This window comes from Homo sapiens, chromosome 18, assembly GCF_000001405.40.
Source record: "Homo sapiens chromosome 18, GRCh38.p14 Primary Assembly".
NCBI classification, from domain to species: Eukaryota; Metazoa; Chordata; class Mammalia; order Primates; family Hominidae; genus Homo; species Homo sapiens.
Window position 1 is genome coordinate 62,681,826 of NC_000018.10, and position 18,042 is coordinate 62,699,867.

Here is an 18,042-nt window from a genome sequence, read left to right on the forward strand (position 1 = left end):
GAGGAAACTATCTTACACTATTTGCTTTTCTTTTTAACAATATAGGTGATTATATAGGATGTTTCTGTTACTTTTTTTCTTTTTTTGAGAAAGTGAGAAAAGGCTGTTGCCCAGGCTGGAGTACAGTGGCATGATCTGGGCTCACTGCAACCTCCACCTCCTGGGCTCAAGCCATCCTCCCACGTCAGCCTCCCAAGTAGTGCACACCACTATGCCCAGCTAATTTTTTGTATTTTTAGTAGAGATGGGGTTTTGCCATGTTGTCCAGGCTGGTCTCAAACTCCTGAGCTCAAGTAACCCTTCCACTTCAGCCTCCCAAAGTGCCACCATACCAAGACTCCGTTACTGTTTATTGATCTCTCTGTTCCCTTTGGCATTGTTCTAGTGGTGTCATGCAAATTGAGGATAAGGTAATTTTTTTTCTAACTCAATAAAATGGCATCATAGAAGAGATTCCTATAATCAAGCAGTTGTTTTCTTTAGAAACATAACAGTTCTTTTTTAGAATACTTTAGAGACCCAGAATATATCAGTTATTAATTCTTTCCTCTCCTTTCTATCCGGCTGTGTGGCCCTGGTTACTATAGGCACTTGTGTAAAATGAGCTCTTTGCAGTTAAGCACTTCTGTTGAAATTATACTCTGTAATTGCTCAGCCCTCACAAAGAGAAAACTCACAAGCATCGCATTGAGGAAACTGTCATGCCAGGTCCAGATCCTCATCTCATGTGCTCAGTCAGCCAAGCAGACAGTCTCAAGGCTTTCGAGACTTTGCACGCAGCTGCTGTATGTATTAATGGAGATTTTTTGGTTGGCTTGAGAGTGGGGTAGGGGAAGGTGATTATTATTTCCTCAAAAATATATGTCTTCAATTTAGTGATTGCAAAGTGACATTGTTATTCAAATCAGTTGTAGGCAAAGGAAAGGAAGTAGAGAAAAGCATTCATTAATGATAAGGTTTCCTGCTGTTCTCAAGCAAGGCTCTCTCCAGAGCAGGCTGCGTAAAAATTGATCCAGCCTTACTGTGCCCTGGTGCATTTACTAGGGCATTATTAATTTGCTAAACGATGAGCCATCACACAATTTTTATATGTAGCCCCCTAAAAGCAGGGATGCTATAACTTCCAATTCTAACTATGCTTTCAACTTCATATCAGGGAACATGAAAAAAATGGGAGATAGTTGATGAGGACATCTAATTAAGGTATGTCCTCAAAACTCCTTTTGAAGCAGCTTTCAACCTCTTTGAATTCATGCTAAAATTAAATGTTCCTCTGAATAAACGGATGTATCTGAATACATAAATGTGCATGTGTGCGAATTGAATCATCTACTTTTCCATAAAATAAAACATATTGGTGGCTCACATTACCTGCTGAAATAACCTGGCAACATTGTTTTAAAGTAAATTCCTCCCCAGGCTTTTTTTCTAATACTTTCTGCTCTGATTATATTTTATTACTGGTTTCTAGCCTTTATGCCAACAATGTAGAACTCTCAGCAGCATCCAACATAGAGAAACGGGGAGGCGGGAGGGGGACAGTTTCATCAAAGGAAACATTAGATCCACATCTATGATTTTCTTGTTCTCTGACTTCCAATCTTACTTTTAATTTATTTTATTTTTATTTTTTTGAGATGGAGTCTCATTCTGTCACTCAGGCTGTAGTACGTGGTGCAATCTTTGCTCACTGCAACCTCCACCTCCCAGGCGCAAGCATTTCTCCTGCCGCAGCCTCCCAAGTAGCTAGGATTACAGGCGCCAGCCACCATGCCTGGCTAATTTTTTGTATTTTTATTATAGAAGGGGTTTCACCATGTTGGCCAGGCTGGTCTCGAACTCCTGACCTCAAGTGATCTGCCTGCCTCGGCCTCCTAATTTGCTGGGATTACAGGCGTGAGCCACTGTGCCCAGCCCATTTTTTACTCTAATATAACTCTTTTTCTTCAGCTGAGTTCAGAGTAATACCACCAAGGAAGAAAATGAGAGTTCAATCTGAATCATATTTATAACAGAAAATTATAATGTTTAATATAATAATGTATAATAATAAATTATAAATGGTTTTAGATAATAATAGTGAAGAATTTCGTGCTTGGAATATATCAGTATATCAGTTGAGAAAATTCTTCTAAGCCCCAAGGTAATATAATTCAAAGCTGCCATAGCTCTTATAAACCAAAAATAAAATTCTAAGTCCCCCAACCGGCTGAATGAACTGCGTTTCATGGAATCCACCAAAGGGATTCCAAGAAACCTGAAAAACTAGTTAAGGCCGTAATGGGAAGGCAGGGGTCAGACATGCCTCATTATACCCTCTCCCTTCTGGAGTTCAGACTCAACCGACCAACATTGACATTAGCATACACATCCCAGACTGACAGAACAGACTCTCTGTAGCAGTAAGATACTGATAACATCATATGACAGGTAACAGGCCCTAAAGGAAATCAAAGTATTTTACCCTAACATATATTTATTTGACATATTTTTTAATGGCCCTTCAAAGCCATCTCTTGTGGGGAAAATTTACATTCTGCAGACAGCCTCCTTCTCTTTCCAGGTCTTTTCCTGTTCCACAAGAGATTTCACTAAGAGCCTGATAACTTTTTTTTTTTTTTTTTTTTTTTTTTAGATGGAGTTTCGCTCTTGTCACCCAGGCTGGAGTGCAGTGGCACTACCTAGGCTCACTGCAACCTCTGCCTCCCGGGTTCAAGTGATTCTCCTGACTCAGCCTCTTGAGTAGCTGGAATTACAGGCGTGTGCCACCATGCCCAGCTAATTTTTGTATTTTTAGTAGAGACAGGGTTTCACCATGTTGGCCAGGCTGGTCTTAAACTCCTGACCTGATGTGATCTACCAGCCTTGGCCTCCCAAAGCGCTGGGTTTACAGGTATGAGCCACTGCACCCAGCCCCTGATAGCTTTTTTTTTTTTTTTTTGAGACGGAGTCTCGCTCTGTCACCCAGGCCGGACTGCGGACTGCAGTGGCGCAATCTCGGCTCACTGCAAGCTCCGCTTCCCGGGTTCACGCCATTCTCCTGCCTCAGCCTCCTGAGTAGCTGGGACTACAGGCGCCCGCCACCGCGCCCGGCTAATTTTTTGTATTTTTAGTAGAGACGGGGTTTCACCTTGTTAGCCAGGATGGTCTCGATCTCCTGACCTCATGATCCACCCGCCTCGGCCTCCCAAAGTGCTGGGATTACAGGCGTGAGCCACCGCGCCCGGCCCCCTGATAGCTTTTAAGCTCTGATAAGAGACATTGACCAGCTACTCTCTCTGAAACCTATGTAATAGATTCTTGGCTTCCACAACTCCCGTTATCTTAGCCCCAAGCATTTCTTTCTGCTGACTTCAACTCTTTAGGCAAAGCTTAACTCTTTCAATCAATTGCCAATCAGGAAATCTTTGAATCCACCTATGTCTTGGAAGCCACCTCTCCCTGCCCTTCAATATGTCCCCTTTCCAGGGCAAACCAATTTAGAACTTACACGTACAGATTACGTCTCTGCCTGTAACTTCTGTTTCCTCAAAAAGTATAAAATGAAGCAGTGCAACCCAATCACCCTGGGCACATGTTCTCAGGACTGCCCGATGCTGTGTCACAAGTCATGGTCTTCACATTTGCTCAGAATAAACCTCTCCAAATATTTTAGAGTTTGGCTTTTTCATCTATACTCTTTACAGTTTACAAAGCATGTTCACATGTTCGCTCATTTGATTCACTCAATAACCATTTAAATACAGCATTCCCATTTCACAGACGAGGGCAACATGGCTCAAGAAGTTTCCATGAATTGCCCAGAATCACCCAGCTAGTAACTGGCAAGGTCATGGCCGAATGCGCTTCTGAAGCAAAATGTGTTTTAGCTCCTTACCCGGCTTCCTTCTCCCTCTATCTGAAAAAGGCATTCACACTCAGATGTGAGTTCCTGATTGTGATATAGTGTACAATCCCTGCCAGGGTATTTTGGTTTTAAAAGAAGATTAAGTCAATAACCTAAATGAATTCTCTCTAACAGTGGACTTTGAGGCACTAGATTAAATAGTGATTGAAAAATAATGATAGTAACAGTTACTATTTTTTGACTATTTGCCCATAGGCGAAGTGTTGGTTATTGACTCCTTATAGTCTCTCCTAGGTAGGGGTTATAATGGCCACTTTTCAAACGCAGGAGCTGAGGGGCTTAAGGAGTTAAGCCCCTTTCTCAAGGTCCCACTGCTGGTGCAGGAGAAGGAGCGAGAACTCCCCCAAGTGTGTCTGATTCTAAATCCTCAGCTCTTTTTTTTTTTTTTTTTTTTTTTTTAAGACGGAGTCTCACTCTGTCGCCCAGGCTGGAGTGCAGTGGTGCGACCTCAGCTCACTGCAAGCTCCGCCTCCCAGGTTCATGCCATTCTCCTGCCTCAGCCTCCCGAGTAGCTGGGATTACAGGCACCCGCCACCACGCCCAGCTAATTTTTTGTATTTTTAGTAGAGATGGGGTTTCACCCTGTTGGCCAGGCTGGTGTCGATCTCCTGACCTCGTGATCCGCCTGCCTCGGCCTCCCAGAGTTCTGGGATTACAGGCGTGAGCCACCGCATCTGGCCAATCCTCAGCTCTTTCAACTGAAATAGCCAGGTCCAAGGCTGCCTCCCCAGTTTTGGGGAGATGTGTTTGTTGGTTTGCTTTTCCTTTGTAATCAGCAATGATACATGATGCAGAAGATCATTAGATCTGGAATCAGGAGCCTTGGTAAGAATCCCAGATTCCTGCTCATTCAGTTTTCCTGCAGAAGGTGGAGTTGCTCTTCCTCTGTCCAAGCTCCCAACTTCTTCAATAAACAAGAACTCCTCTCACCACTCCTCTATAACTGGGTGGGGAGGTGGGGGGACTCATTTAAAAATATTTTTAAAAAATATTCTAGCAAACCACCCTACCATTATTCAATATTTTATATTTCTTTTGGCAAGCATGCGGAATTTTGCTCTTTGGTATCCCTCCCCCTCTTCTTTTCGTAGATCCCCATGTAAGGATATTATTAAGGAGTTTCTATGTCAGGAAGGAAGAAAATGTTCCATCCCATGATCTTTATTCATGGCTTTACATTACTTTTTCAAAGTTATTTTATTTTCAAGAGTTTCAGAGAACACTGAATTCTATTTTTGGAAATTTGTTGGCACTCAGCTCTTAAATGGATGCAGAGGCATTAGCATTTATCATCTTTTCCTTTGCTGCTAATCACTAACATCCTATTTGCAACTTTAGGTCTCCAGGTCAGAGGTATCAGTGGGCACATAATTGACCCTTCCCTTGGCCCTAGGTTATGGGAGAGCTCAACCAGGGGACAGAAAGAGAGCAAAAAACACATTCTAGGTGACAATGCATATTGGTTTCCTATTTTTGTGATAATAAATTATCACAAATTTTCTGGCTTTAATACAAATCTTTTATCCTATGTTGGGAGGTCAGAATTCCCAATGTCAAGATGTGGGCAGGGCTGCATTCATTTCTGGAGGCTGTAGGGGACAATCGCGTTCCTTCCCTTTCTTGGCTCCTGGAGGACTGCCTGAATGCCTGTTCCCTTCCATCCCCAAAGCTAGCAATGGCTTAAGGATCTAGTCACTAGAAGCACAACAATGAACAAGAACAACAAAGCCCTGTCTTAAAGACTGTATGTCTGGCCAGGTGTGGTGGCTTACGCCTGTAATCCTAGCATTTTGGGAGGCCAAGACAAGTGGATGATTTGAGGTCAGACGTTCAAGACCAGCCCAGCTAACATGGTGAAGCCCCGTCTCTACTAAAAATACAAAAATTAGCTGGTCATGGTGGCACGCGCCTGTAATCCCAGCTACTGGAGAGGCTGAGGCAGAAGAATTGCTTAAGCTTGCAGTGAGCCAAGATCATGCCACTGCACTCCAGCCTGGGTGAGCAAGACTCTGTCTCAGAAAAAAAAAAAAAAAAAAAAAAAGACTGTATGTCCCTGTGGGGAAAGACAGAGATGAACTAACTGATAAAAAAAATATATATAGGACCAGCCGCAGTGGCTTACGCCTGTAATCCCAGCACTTTAAGTGGCTGAAGTGGGTGGATCACCTGAGGTCAGGAGTTCGAGACCAGCCCGACCAACATGGTGAAATCCTGTCTCTAGTAAATGCAAAAAATTAGCCAGGGGTTGTGGCATGGGCCTGTAATCCCAGCTACTTGGGGGGCTGAGGCAAGAGAATCACTTGAACCTGGGAGGCGGAGGCTGCAGTGAGCCGAGATTGCACCATTGCACTCCAGCCTGGGCAACAAGAGCGAAAACTCTGTCTCAAAAAAACTACAAAAAAACTCATATGTATACATATATATATGTCAGGTAGTGACAAATGCTATATTCATTTCTTGGGGTTACTGTGAAAAAGTACTGCAAACTTGGGTGGCTTAAAACAACAGAAATTTATTCTTTCATGGTTCTGGAGGCCAGCAATCTGAGATGAATGTGTCAGCCACGCCATACGTCCTCTGAAGGTTCCCTAAAAGAATCCTTCCTTGCCTCTTCCTGGCTTCTGGGGACTGCCTGCAGCCCTTGGCATTCCCTGACTTACAACTGCATCACTCCAGTCTCTGCGTCCTGGTCACATGGCCTTCTTCCTGTGTGTGTCCCTTTGTGTCCTCTCTTCTTCTTGTAAAGATGCCAGTCATATTGGATTTAGGGCCTACCTTCATCCAATATAACTTCATCTTAACTAATTACATCTCTGAAGACCCTATTTCCAAACAAGTTCACGTTCTGAGGTTCTGGGTGGACATGAATTCTTGGGGGACATTATTCAACTCAGCATATATGCTGTGCAGAAAAATAAAGCAGCGTTGGGGAAAGAGCATGGGGGTGGTGCCATTTAAATAAGGAGGTGTCATTTGCAAGGAGGCCTAAATGAAGGCAGTGAGGGACCCAGTCACAAATCTAGGGGCAGAATACCCAGGCAGGGGCACAGCACCACAGCAGAGTCACAGCCTGTTTGGTGGCTGGGGCAGGAGAGCCGGAAGGGTGAAGACGTTGGAGGGGAGGTGCCCAGAAGAAGAGTCCCTGTTGCCTTGTAGACCAAGGTGGGGATTTTAGAGTTAGCCACCTTCCAGGAAATTTGTGAGGGTGAAGTGAGTTAAGCACTTCAGAATACCGAGCTTAAACTAGGCACATGGGAAGTATGAGTTCTCTTCCTCCTTGCTCATCATCCCAGCTCTAAGACAGCATGTTAAAACATTTTTCTCTGGCTTAGGTTTGTCTAAGTTCAACTGAGAATTTCTTCTCTTCCTAACTGGTCACCCCATACAGGATCTGACATTTTCCATTGCTTCAGGGACTGCATTTCAAGGCTTGCAGGAGATCAGCTCCATCAGGGGACCTTCACTAAGGAGAACACCTGCTCAACCACCTGCAGTGCAAGTGCGGTCGGAGAGGAATCCCTTTTCCTCCGCTCCATCCTCACCCCTGCTCGTCTCTGAAGACTCTCAGCAGACACTGGAGAGGAACACGGCTACATACTAGAAGAGTCTCTCCTGTCTTCTATTTCCAGAGTGGCCCTATTATGGAACTAAGCCAATGGACTTTGAAGGTTCATCTATCATTTACAACTGATCTCATTGTACTTTTTGCTTAAAAAGTATTTTAATGAATGAAAGAAGTGTAAGATGATAGTATGTATGAATACATTCCCATAGATGAAAGCTCATTCTACCCTGGGACTGTTTATCAAGCATCACAAATCTTTGCAAATTTCTAATTTTGCAAATTAGAAATTTCCCTCGTTGTCTTTAAAATATGCATTTTAGAATGACATTTCAGCTATTCACTGCTTTACAGAAGTTCCTATGATTTGTTTGGGAAAGTAGGCAGGTAGCATGTTGTTGTGAGAATAGGTGTGTAGCATGGTGTTGTGGGAACAGGCTTGTATGTAGTATGGTCCTGTGGGAGTAGGCATGTAGCAGTGGTGTCATAGGAACAGGCATGCAGCATAGTGTTGTGGGAACAGGTGTGTAGCAGTGATGTTGTGGGAATAGGCGTGTAGCATGTTGTGGGAACAGGCATGTAGCATGGTGTCATGGGAACAGGCAGGTAGCAGTGGTGTTGTGGCATGCTCATGTGCTGTGCTCCTGCAACTCTGACCAGGGGGCCTCAGGAAATCCTGAAGACTATCCATTTAGTTAACACTTTAGGGAAAAACTGATTAATATGCTGGCACTAAAAATGTTTGCCACCCAGGCTCTTTGGGGCGTTACTAATGGACTTGTGTAAACTTTTTGAATTCCAAAGTAATACAGTTCTTCTATTTTGCCTCTGATGTGTCTGAGATGGAAATGTCTGGATGGCAGCGGAAACTTAAACAGGCAAATGGGAAAATTCAGTCGTAAAGTGTTGTGGTGGGCTTTTAAAAAATACAAAACTAGACTTTTCTGTTCATCTTACATCTGCTTGGAGAGTGTGGAAGTGTGGAGTGCAATCTATGCTAGAAAGAGAAAATGAGAAAATAGCTTGTGGAAAGATTAGGGAACATTTGCTACCAATTATGGCTTTCAGTCCTGAAGCCAAGCCTTGAATTCGACTCAGCAAAGTGAAATAATGAATCTTTCACCGAGCGTGCTTTCATCTTCAGTTGAGATTTAATATAACATTTGGTATTTTGAATGTAGCTTTTGACACTCCAGGAAGGGAAAGCAGCTCCGAGTTGTTTGTTTTCCTGAGCTTCCGTCTTGTTTGGGGTGTCAGTAACACCAGAGCCTATGACAGGCAGCTGATCGCTGGGAAAGTGCAGCCAAAAGGAAGATCCCAGCCAAGCCATGAACTTTAGTTCAAATGCTCATCTCTGGCAGACAATGCCATCCCTTGTGTGGATGAAAAATAGGGACAGAGCTTTGTATGGGAATGGTAATGACAATATGCCCTAAGATTCACTTTCTTATTAATGCAGGGTTTGTGCTACCACACCATGAAAGACAACTGTGTATTTACTGAAAACAGGGTCATATTCATTGTGTGGTGTCCTGGAAAAATACAAGATCTTTCCAAAACTCAAAATCTTCTCTAAAATTTAATGCCCGTTAAAGGGTATGAGCTTAATCCTCAGATTAGAAAGCCCTGTTTAGAAATTTTTCACTGTTTATTCTAATGATCTGGGCCTTTTAGACCTCCTGAGCCCTTGACCTTAATCATCACTCCCTACCCCCTTAATGAAACTCCCATTTTCCTTGGGTTTCTTGGCTATTCTCTCAATGGAAGTTCCTTCTCTCTTGACACTGTAAATGGCACTTATAAAATGTTTGCCTTCAAGCTCTCTTCTCTTGTTTCTCAACACCATTTTTCTTATAGAGTGAATTCTCTTCCAGTTTAAATAATTACAAAGTCTCTATTCCAAACCTTGTTTTGCCTCCTGAGCTCTGCTTTCTTATTTCTCTATTTCTTTCTTTCTTTTTTGAAATGGGGTCTTGCTCTGTCACCCAGGCTGGAGTGCAATGGCACGAACTTGGCTCACTACAACCTCTGCCTCCCGGGTTCAAGGATTCTCTCGCTTGAGCCTCCTGAGTAGCTGGGACTACAAGCACGCACCACCACGCCTGGCTAATTTTTGTATTTTTAGTAGAGACAAGGTTTCACCATTTTGACCAGGCTGGTGTTGAACTCCTGACCTCAAGTGATCTGCCCGCCTTGGCCTCCCAACGTGCTGGGATTACAGGTGTGAGTCACAGCACCCGGCCTAATTTTCTTTTCTTTTCTTTCCTTTTCTTTTTCTTTTTTCTTTTCTTTCTTTCTTTTCTTTATTTATTTATTTTTTTTTTGAGACAGAGTCTCACTCTGTTGCCCACGCTGGAGTGCAATGGCATGATCTTGGCTCACTGCAACCTCCGCCTCCTGTGTTCAAGAGATTCTCCCACCTCAGCCTCCTGAGTAGCTGGGATTACAGGCACCTGCCATCATGCCCGGCTAATTTTTTGTATTTTTGTAGAGACGGGGTTTCACCATGTTGACCAGGCTGGTCTTGAACTCCTGACCTCCTTGACCGAAGTGATATACTTGGCCTCCCAAAGTGCTAGGATTACAGGCGTGAGCCACCGCACCTGGCTTCTTTTCCATTTTTATCCTACTTTCTCAACTTTTCTCCCAAGCTTTCTATTGAAATTTTCATTTCTTTTATCCTGTTTTAATTTCAAAAAGCTCTTTCTTATTCTGTGTTTTTACATACATATATCTCGTCTTGTTTCATGCAGGTAATAATATTTCTCATTTCTGAAGACACGGATGAGTAGTTTTTAAAAGTCTATTTCTGTCCAATTGCCTTTTTCAGCTCATTTCTGTTTTCTTGATAAAGGTTTTCTTCAGATGGATTTTCAACTGCCTGCTGGTGGTTGGGTGTGAAGCTGGGTCTGCACAGCTTTTCAGCTATGGGCTTTGCTGCAGGGTCACCCGACTGGGCTGTTGTTGGGTGCTTTGGGGGAAGGCTTGTTGGATACCCCTGAAAAGGATCTTTCATGAAGAGTATAAGTTTGGCTGCCAGAGTCCCAGGGCGGGCCATTGCAAGTCCATGCCAGGTCTTTGTGAAAATTAGGAAGAGGCACCTTCTCTCCAGGAGGCAGCCCTGCAGGAGCAGCATTGGTGATCAGATGGCACCTTCTGGAGAATGAGGGAAAGGGGCACATTCCTCCAAGAGGCAGCCCTGCAGGAGCAGCATTGGTGATCAGATGGCACCTTCTGGAGAATGAGGGAAAGGGGCACCTTCCTCCAGGCACAGGGCCAGAGGCCGGAGAGAGGAGCTCAATCTCAACCCCACCCAGCCCTTCAGCCAGGTGCCCTGTGCAGGACAAACCTGTTCAACTGCACATGGTGGCTTTGGGGCTGGGGGCTGAGTGAAGGAAGAGGGAGGAGTATGTAAAACATTACTTTAATCCCCCTGTTTCCAGCACAGTAACCCCAACTGAAATTGTTTAGTGCCTCTCCCATCCCAGGAACTCTCAATTTTATCTACTTTTTCAAGAGAATAAACTCTGAAAGGCAACTATTTCCCAGAAGGTGCAAGGCATCTGATGTCTAGTGACACAATTGCTTCCCAAGTCCATTTGCAGCCTCCTCTTTTTGTACCCATCTTTACTTACAGTTCCAGAAGGGCCTGGTGTCACCAGTTCCCACATCTTCAGGAGGTTCTGCATTGCAAAGTAGGTTGCTTGTCAGCTCTCCCTGCTGCTGGCTTAGAATTCAGGTTTCTTAGGCCGGGCAAGGTGGCTCACACCTGTAATCCCAGTACTTTGGGAGGCCAAGGTGGGCCTGAGAATGGCCAACAGCGAGTGGATCACTTGAGGTCAGGGGTTCAAGACCACCCTGGCCAACATGGTGAAACCCCATCTGTACTAAAAATACAAAAATTAGCCAGGCACGGTGGCGGGTGCCTGTAATCCTAGCTACTTGGGAGGCTGAGGCAGTAGAATCACATGAACCCAGGAGGTGGAGGTTGCAGTGAGCCAAGATCGTGTCACTACCCTCCAGCTTGGGCGATAGAGCAAGACGCCATCTCAAAAAAAAAAAAAAAAAAAAAAAAGACGAATAACATTGCATTGTGAGTGTGTGTTCATTTTCTTTATCCATTCATCCACTGATGAACATTTAGGTTGTTTCCATATCTTTGCAAATTTTCTATATTTTTAGAACATCCACTGTCATTTTAGTAGGATTTCTTGAGAGATCAGAGTTAAATAAGTATTTTTCAGCCAGCTTTCTTTAAACAAAAATTGGTGTTACTTTTTAAAAGGCTCATTTTAGCAGTTTTTAATAAAAGTTGTACATAAGATGACTTTATGACTTTTTTTCTCAGTAGTCTCATCCTTGTATTTGTCCTTTTCCATTTCTCCTTGGTCTTTTCATAGTCTTTGTCCAGGTTTAGTTGGTGATAACCACTTTCTAAGGTGAATATACACACGTGGACCATTGTACTGTGAGACACTGTGCTGTGAAATCACACTGAACATGTTAAATCATGCATTCAGTGCAGATGACACATTTTTCCTGCAAATCTGAATGACCTGGCCAGTTTGCCTGCTTTTGCACTGACCTTGAATGACTTGGACTTTTGACTTTGCAAACTGGAAAGAGAAGACATAATATTCCTACTAATAGGTGAAAGTGCATAGAAAGGTCTTTTATGGTTTTTTGCTAGGTGAGAAGATACAAAGGGATTGTACTTTATTTTGGCCTTAAGCAGGAACATTTCTGATTTTTTATTGGTGTATGGGATCGCTCAGCATGAAAAACGCTGGAGTCAAATGATTCTTATTTATTTATTTATTTATTTGAGACAGTCTCACTCTGTCACCCAGGCTGGAGTGCAATGGTGTGATCTCAGCTCACTACAACCTCTACCTCCCAGGTTCAAGCAATTCTTGTGCCTCAGCCTCCCAAGTAGCTGGGATTACAGATGTGAGCCACCATGCCCAGCTAATTTTTGTATTTTTAGTAGAGACAGGGTTTTGCCACGTTGGCCAGGCTGGTCTCGAACTCTTGGCCTCAAGTGATCTGCCCGCCTCAGCCTCCCACAGTGTTCGGATCACAGGTATGAGCCACCACGCCCAGCTGGAATTCTTGACTTTTATAGATGAAAGAGTGAAATCCAGAGAGGTCAACATCACACAGTAATTCAGCCCCATGTTCGGCAGAAACCTCTTCCCCTTGACATGGTCAACGTCCTCTTGCCTTCCAGAATACAGCTCAGGTGCCATCTCTTTTAGGAAGGCTTCCTTTACCACCACCAGCCTGCTCTCTTCCAGGCTGACTTGGGGTTAATTACCAGATGCTCCTCAAACAGGTTGTGCTTACCTTTATCATTGATGAGAGCTTTTTTTTTTTTTTTTTTCAGATAGTATCTCCCTCTGTCACCCAGGCTGGAGTGCAGTGGTGCTATCTTGGCTCACTGAAACCTGCGCTTCCTGGGCTGAAGCCATCCTCCCACCTCAGCTTCCCAAGTAGCTGAAAGTACAGGCATGCATCACCACAACCAGCTAATTTTTATATTTTTTGTAGAAATGGGATTTTGCCATGTTGCCCAGGTTGTTCTCAAACTCATGAGCTCAAGGGATCTACCTGCCTCGGCCTCCCAAAGTGCTGGGATTTCAAGTGTGAGCCACCATACCCAGCCCATCTTTTTTGCTAAACAATGTGGATAAAGTCTTATTCTTTGGTTCCCTTCAAATTTAACAGTCCTTCCACTAAAACATCCTTCTTTCAGACAGTTATATTACTCTATAATTGGCAAAAGTGCAGCTTTCCTCAGGTACATTCTAGTCCTAAGGATACACTATAATTACTTTGATTGATCTTGGGTAGCTTTCAGGTCTCCATAGAAATATATTTACATTTTAGTATGGGTTATTTCTGTAAGTGTCTACTTTCAACCATTCTTCATTTTCAGAGGCCTTGTCCTCAAATTCCATGAGTGGGAGCCCCTAATCATAACTGCCCATATCCTGATTATGTTCGTCATTTATCCACTTCCCAGAGCCGTTGGGAGGATCAGGTAAGAGGATGTACATGAAAACACTCTGTCAGCAGGAAGGCTGACACATTAAGGTGTCACTTTTTTCAAAACATCCTATTCTTTGTTTATAGTCCACCCTGAAAAAAAAACATTCAATGGATTAGGAAATGACCATTAATCTGGAAAAAAATTCCACAATGTAATTGATCATTAGTCAGGGGTGGTGGCATACACATTTGGTCCTAGCTACTCAGGAGGCTGAGGTGGGAGGATCGTTTGAGTCTGGGAGATTGAAGCTGCAGTGAGCCGTGACTGTGCCATTGCATTCCAGCTTGGGCAACAGAGTAAGACCCTGTCTCAAAAAAAAAAAAAAGAAAAAGAAAAAGATTTTTCATTTGGAAGTGCCAGTTTATCCCCTGCAAATATTAATAAATAAACAAATCGTCTGTGCTCAGTCTTATATAGAAATTGTATTCATTTGCAACTATAATTAACTTAAAATGGAACTGAAGTAGGCTGCAGATACCATAAAATACTATATATTAACTGTTATTTATTCCAAAAATTCTATATGATTCTCTCTCCCTGAGTCTTCTAATCTTGGATTATGGGTCTCCAATTTTTTCTCTCTTTTTTTAAAACACATTGACTAAAATTATTTTTTCTCCCTGTGTTTTGGTATCACTATTAATTGTAAATATTATCAATCTGCCAGGTGCAGTGGTTCATGCCTATAATGCTAGCACTTTGGGAGGCTGAGGTGGGAAGACTGCTTGAGCCCAGGAGTTTGAGACCAGCCTGGCCAACATGGTGAAACCCTGTCTCTACAAAAAAATACGAAAATTAGCTGGGTGTGGTAATGCGCACCTGTAGTCCCAGCTACTCAGGAGGCTGAGGCGGGAGGATCGCTTGAGCCCAGGAAGTCAAGGCTGCAGTGAGCCATGATTGTGCCACTGTACTCCAGTGGGGATGTCACAGCAAGGTCCTGTCTCAAAAAAATTAAAATAAATAAATAAATGTTATCAATCAACATTGACTAATAGTATTTAGTACTTAACATTTAAGTAGGGAAAATAAAAACATGAGCTTTCTTACACTATTATTCTTCATGCCCTTTGCCTGATTTAAGTCTAACATGCATTGATTTCAGTGAAGTCTTTATTCTTGCAAGCACCAGAGGCAGAGTAGGTCATAATTTTAGAAAATTGATGTTAATATTAAAGTGTCCACCTTCAGAATACAGAAAAGGTATAATTAGAAAATCATCGTTCATTCTTTGTAATATTCTGGAGTCAAGAAACCTCTTCTATTTTCTATCATCTATTGTCTATAGGTTTAAGTTTTTTCTGTCTTTTAATTTTAAAAGCTGCATATATCCCATTCCAGTCCAGTGGAGTAGTCAGCCCTTTCCTCCCTTCCTTTTCCTGGGCCCTGCCTTGCTGCCTCCATCCTTCCCTCCCTTCCCAGATTATGTGATATTAAAGGACAGAACTAAATTCCAGTTTGAGAAGCTGATTCTTATTGGAGACTTAACACACAGTTATTTTATTATTTGTTTTTTTTGAGATGGAGTCTCGCTCTGTCACCCAGGCTGGAGTGCAGTGGCACCATCTCAGCTCACTGCAACTTCCGCCTCCCAGGTTCAAGCGATTCTCCTGCCTCAACCTCCCTAGTAGCTGGGACTACAGGTGCGTGCCACCACGCCCGGTTAATTTTTTGTATTTTTAGTAGAGATGGGGTTTCACCGTGTTAGCTAGGATGGTGTATATCTCCTGACCTCGTGATCTGCCCGCCTCGGCCTCCCAAAGTGCTGGGATTACAGGTGTGAGCCACTGCGCCCAGCCAACACACATTTAATTTATTTTTATAGAGCCAGAAAATCAATACTGAATTAAAAAGCAGGCATTTCTCCTTCCAAGGCTCTAAGATCCAAGAGGGGTGGGTCTGTGGAGGATGTGGTCATCATTGTAATTCTCATACTTAGCAAATTCCCTGGTACAAAGTAGTTGTTCAATAAAACTTTCTTGATTTAGTTCATCTGCATAAATGGCCCACCACAATTTGGATAATGGCATTGTATTATCTGAAGACAATAAATACAACTCATTTGAAGTCCAGGTCTCTAGGTTCACATGGAGCTCAAACAGAGAAGACAGCTCCTGGTTCACATGCGTTTGGTCAGAACATTTATCTTACAGAAAAAATGTAGGAATTAAGACCCCTAGATGAAGTTGCAAGATGATTGCCATTTTATTTTCTCTTCCAGATTTTGCTGCCTGTTTTGGCATTATCTCCATAGATTCACCACGGCTTCGTCCTTCCCTGGGCCTGCCTACTCTACTCAACATTCCACCTCTTCCTATGTCACATGTAAGAGCTCAGAGTTTTATGTAATAAATGTGTGAAACAAATCCAATATTCCTGTGTCTTAAACAAAAAGGCAAAACCTTTTACTAAAGGGATAGGTACAAAGTAAAGTATTCATATGACACAGACCTTTAAACTTTCCTGGCTCAATAGCACAATCCAAATAAATCAATAGAATATTTGCCAGCAGTCCAGAGGCCCCCTCCAGCCACTGCCCTCTGTCAAAGGTCTCCTGTATGCTGACTTGCATCAGATTAGTTTTGCCTATTCTTTTAAAAAATTGTGTTACTATATATATATATAGCTTAAAAATTACCAACTTAACCATGTTATTTATTTATTTGTTTGTTTTTGTTTTTATTTTATTTTTTGAGAAAGAGTCTCACTCTGTCTCCCATGCTGGAGTGCAGTGGCATGATCTCAGCTCACTACAAGCTCAACCACCCTAGCTCAAGCTATCCTTCCGCCTCAGTCTCCCGAGTAGCTGAGACTACAGGCGCATGCCACCACGCCTGGCTAATTTTTGTATTTTTTTGTAGAGATGCGGTTTCGCCATGTTGCCGAAGCTGGTCTTGAACTGCTGGGCTCAAAAGATTCAGTAACTTCAGCCTCCCAGAGTCTTTGAACTACAGGCGTAAGCCACCGCACCTGGACTTAACCATTTTAAAGTGTGCAGTTTAGCAAAGGTAAGAACATTCACAATGTTGTCCACCAATTGCTAGAGCTTATCTTGAAAAACTCAAACTCTATATCCATCCAACTACTCATTTCACCCAACTCCCAGCCCCTGACAAACACCACTCTATTTTTGTCTATAAATCTAACTACTCTTAGGTACCATGTATAAGTGGAATCATATAGTATTTACCTCTTTGTGACTGGCTTATTACATAGTTTTGCCTATTCTTAATCTTGATTCATATACACAGAATCATATAATATGGGTTCTTCTGTGTCTTTTTCTGCTCCACATAATAGCATTAAGATTCATCCATGTTGCTGCGTGTCTCATTAATTCTATTGCACAATTAAGTATACACTACAATTTATCTTTCCATTCCCCTGTTCATGGGCATTTGGGTTGTTTTTTATTTTGGGCTATTTATGAATGAAGCTGCTGTGCATCTTCATATATTTGTTTTGTTTTTTTTTTTTTTTTTTGGTGGATATACTTACTCATTTCCTTGGGGTATCACATCTGGGAGGGGAATTTCTGGTTCATCAGGCAGACAGATGTTTATCTGTAGTAAACACTGTCAAACCGTTTTCCAGAGTGGAATGCATGAGAGTTCTAGTTGCTCTACAACCTTACCATCATTTGGTATTGTCACTTTAGTAATTTTAGTCTTTTAAAGATGTGTAAGGGTATCTTAGGGTGTTTTAATTTGTATTTTCCTTGTAAGTAATGATGATGAGCACCATTTCACATGCTGCTTGGCTTTCTGAGATCTTCTTTTGTGGATAGTATGTTTGTTTGTTTTGCCTGTTAATTGAAGGGATTGATTTTTTCTTATTGATTTGTAGGAGCTCTTTACATATCCTGAATAGAAATTGTTGTCTCCCAGTGGTCTGTGGCTTGCATTTTCATTCTCTTGGTGTTGTCTTTTGATAAAAAGATGTTATTAACGGTAAAAAAAAAAAAAAGACTAATTTACCATTTTTTCTTTTTTTAAGAGCTTTCTTGTGTCTTAAGACCTTTGCCTACCCCAAGGTCACTTTCAGAAGTTTTGTTATTTTATCTTTCAAGTTTCGATCTAAGATCCATCTCAAATTATTTTTTTGTATGGTGTCCCATAGCATTTTAACTGTCCCCTAAGAGTGATGAGCTCTCTCTCTCACCCTTGATGATCTTGGTCCTTCCATCTCTTTATCAAAATGTGGCCATTTTAAGTCAAGTGAGGCTAGTGGAGAAGCTGTGGAGATATTTTAGGGGAATGGAAGCCTTTCTTATCAAGTCACATTTCTTAAGTGTCTACTTTTGCAGCTTTGAATCTATGTCCAATTCTTTTCTAGGGTAATTCTAATTTACAAGCATGTTGCCAATGTGGAAACATTATAATTTGTTTAAAAGTTGGGCAAAAATCAGAAACTAAATGTTCCCTAGCAAAGCAAAAATTGCCCCAGACAAAGTTAAACAGGGAAGGAAGACTTTATTGAAGGCTATTGAAATAGAGGAGAGAGACCAGAGCTAAGTCTAAACTC

General features: G+C 42.3%; 1 annotated feature.

Annotated features, from left to right (window-relative positions):
* Window positions 5,067-5,236: an enhancer, noted in NCBI's record as "experimental_49084 CRE fragment used in MPRA reporter constructs". NCBI's record gives its function as "activates a minimal promoter by MPRAs in K562 erythroleukemia cells, with activity observed for the introgressed 18:60354210 variant allele {active_cell/tissue: K562}" and the evidence as "EXISTENCE:reporter gene assay evidence [ECO:0000049][PMID:34662402]".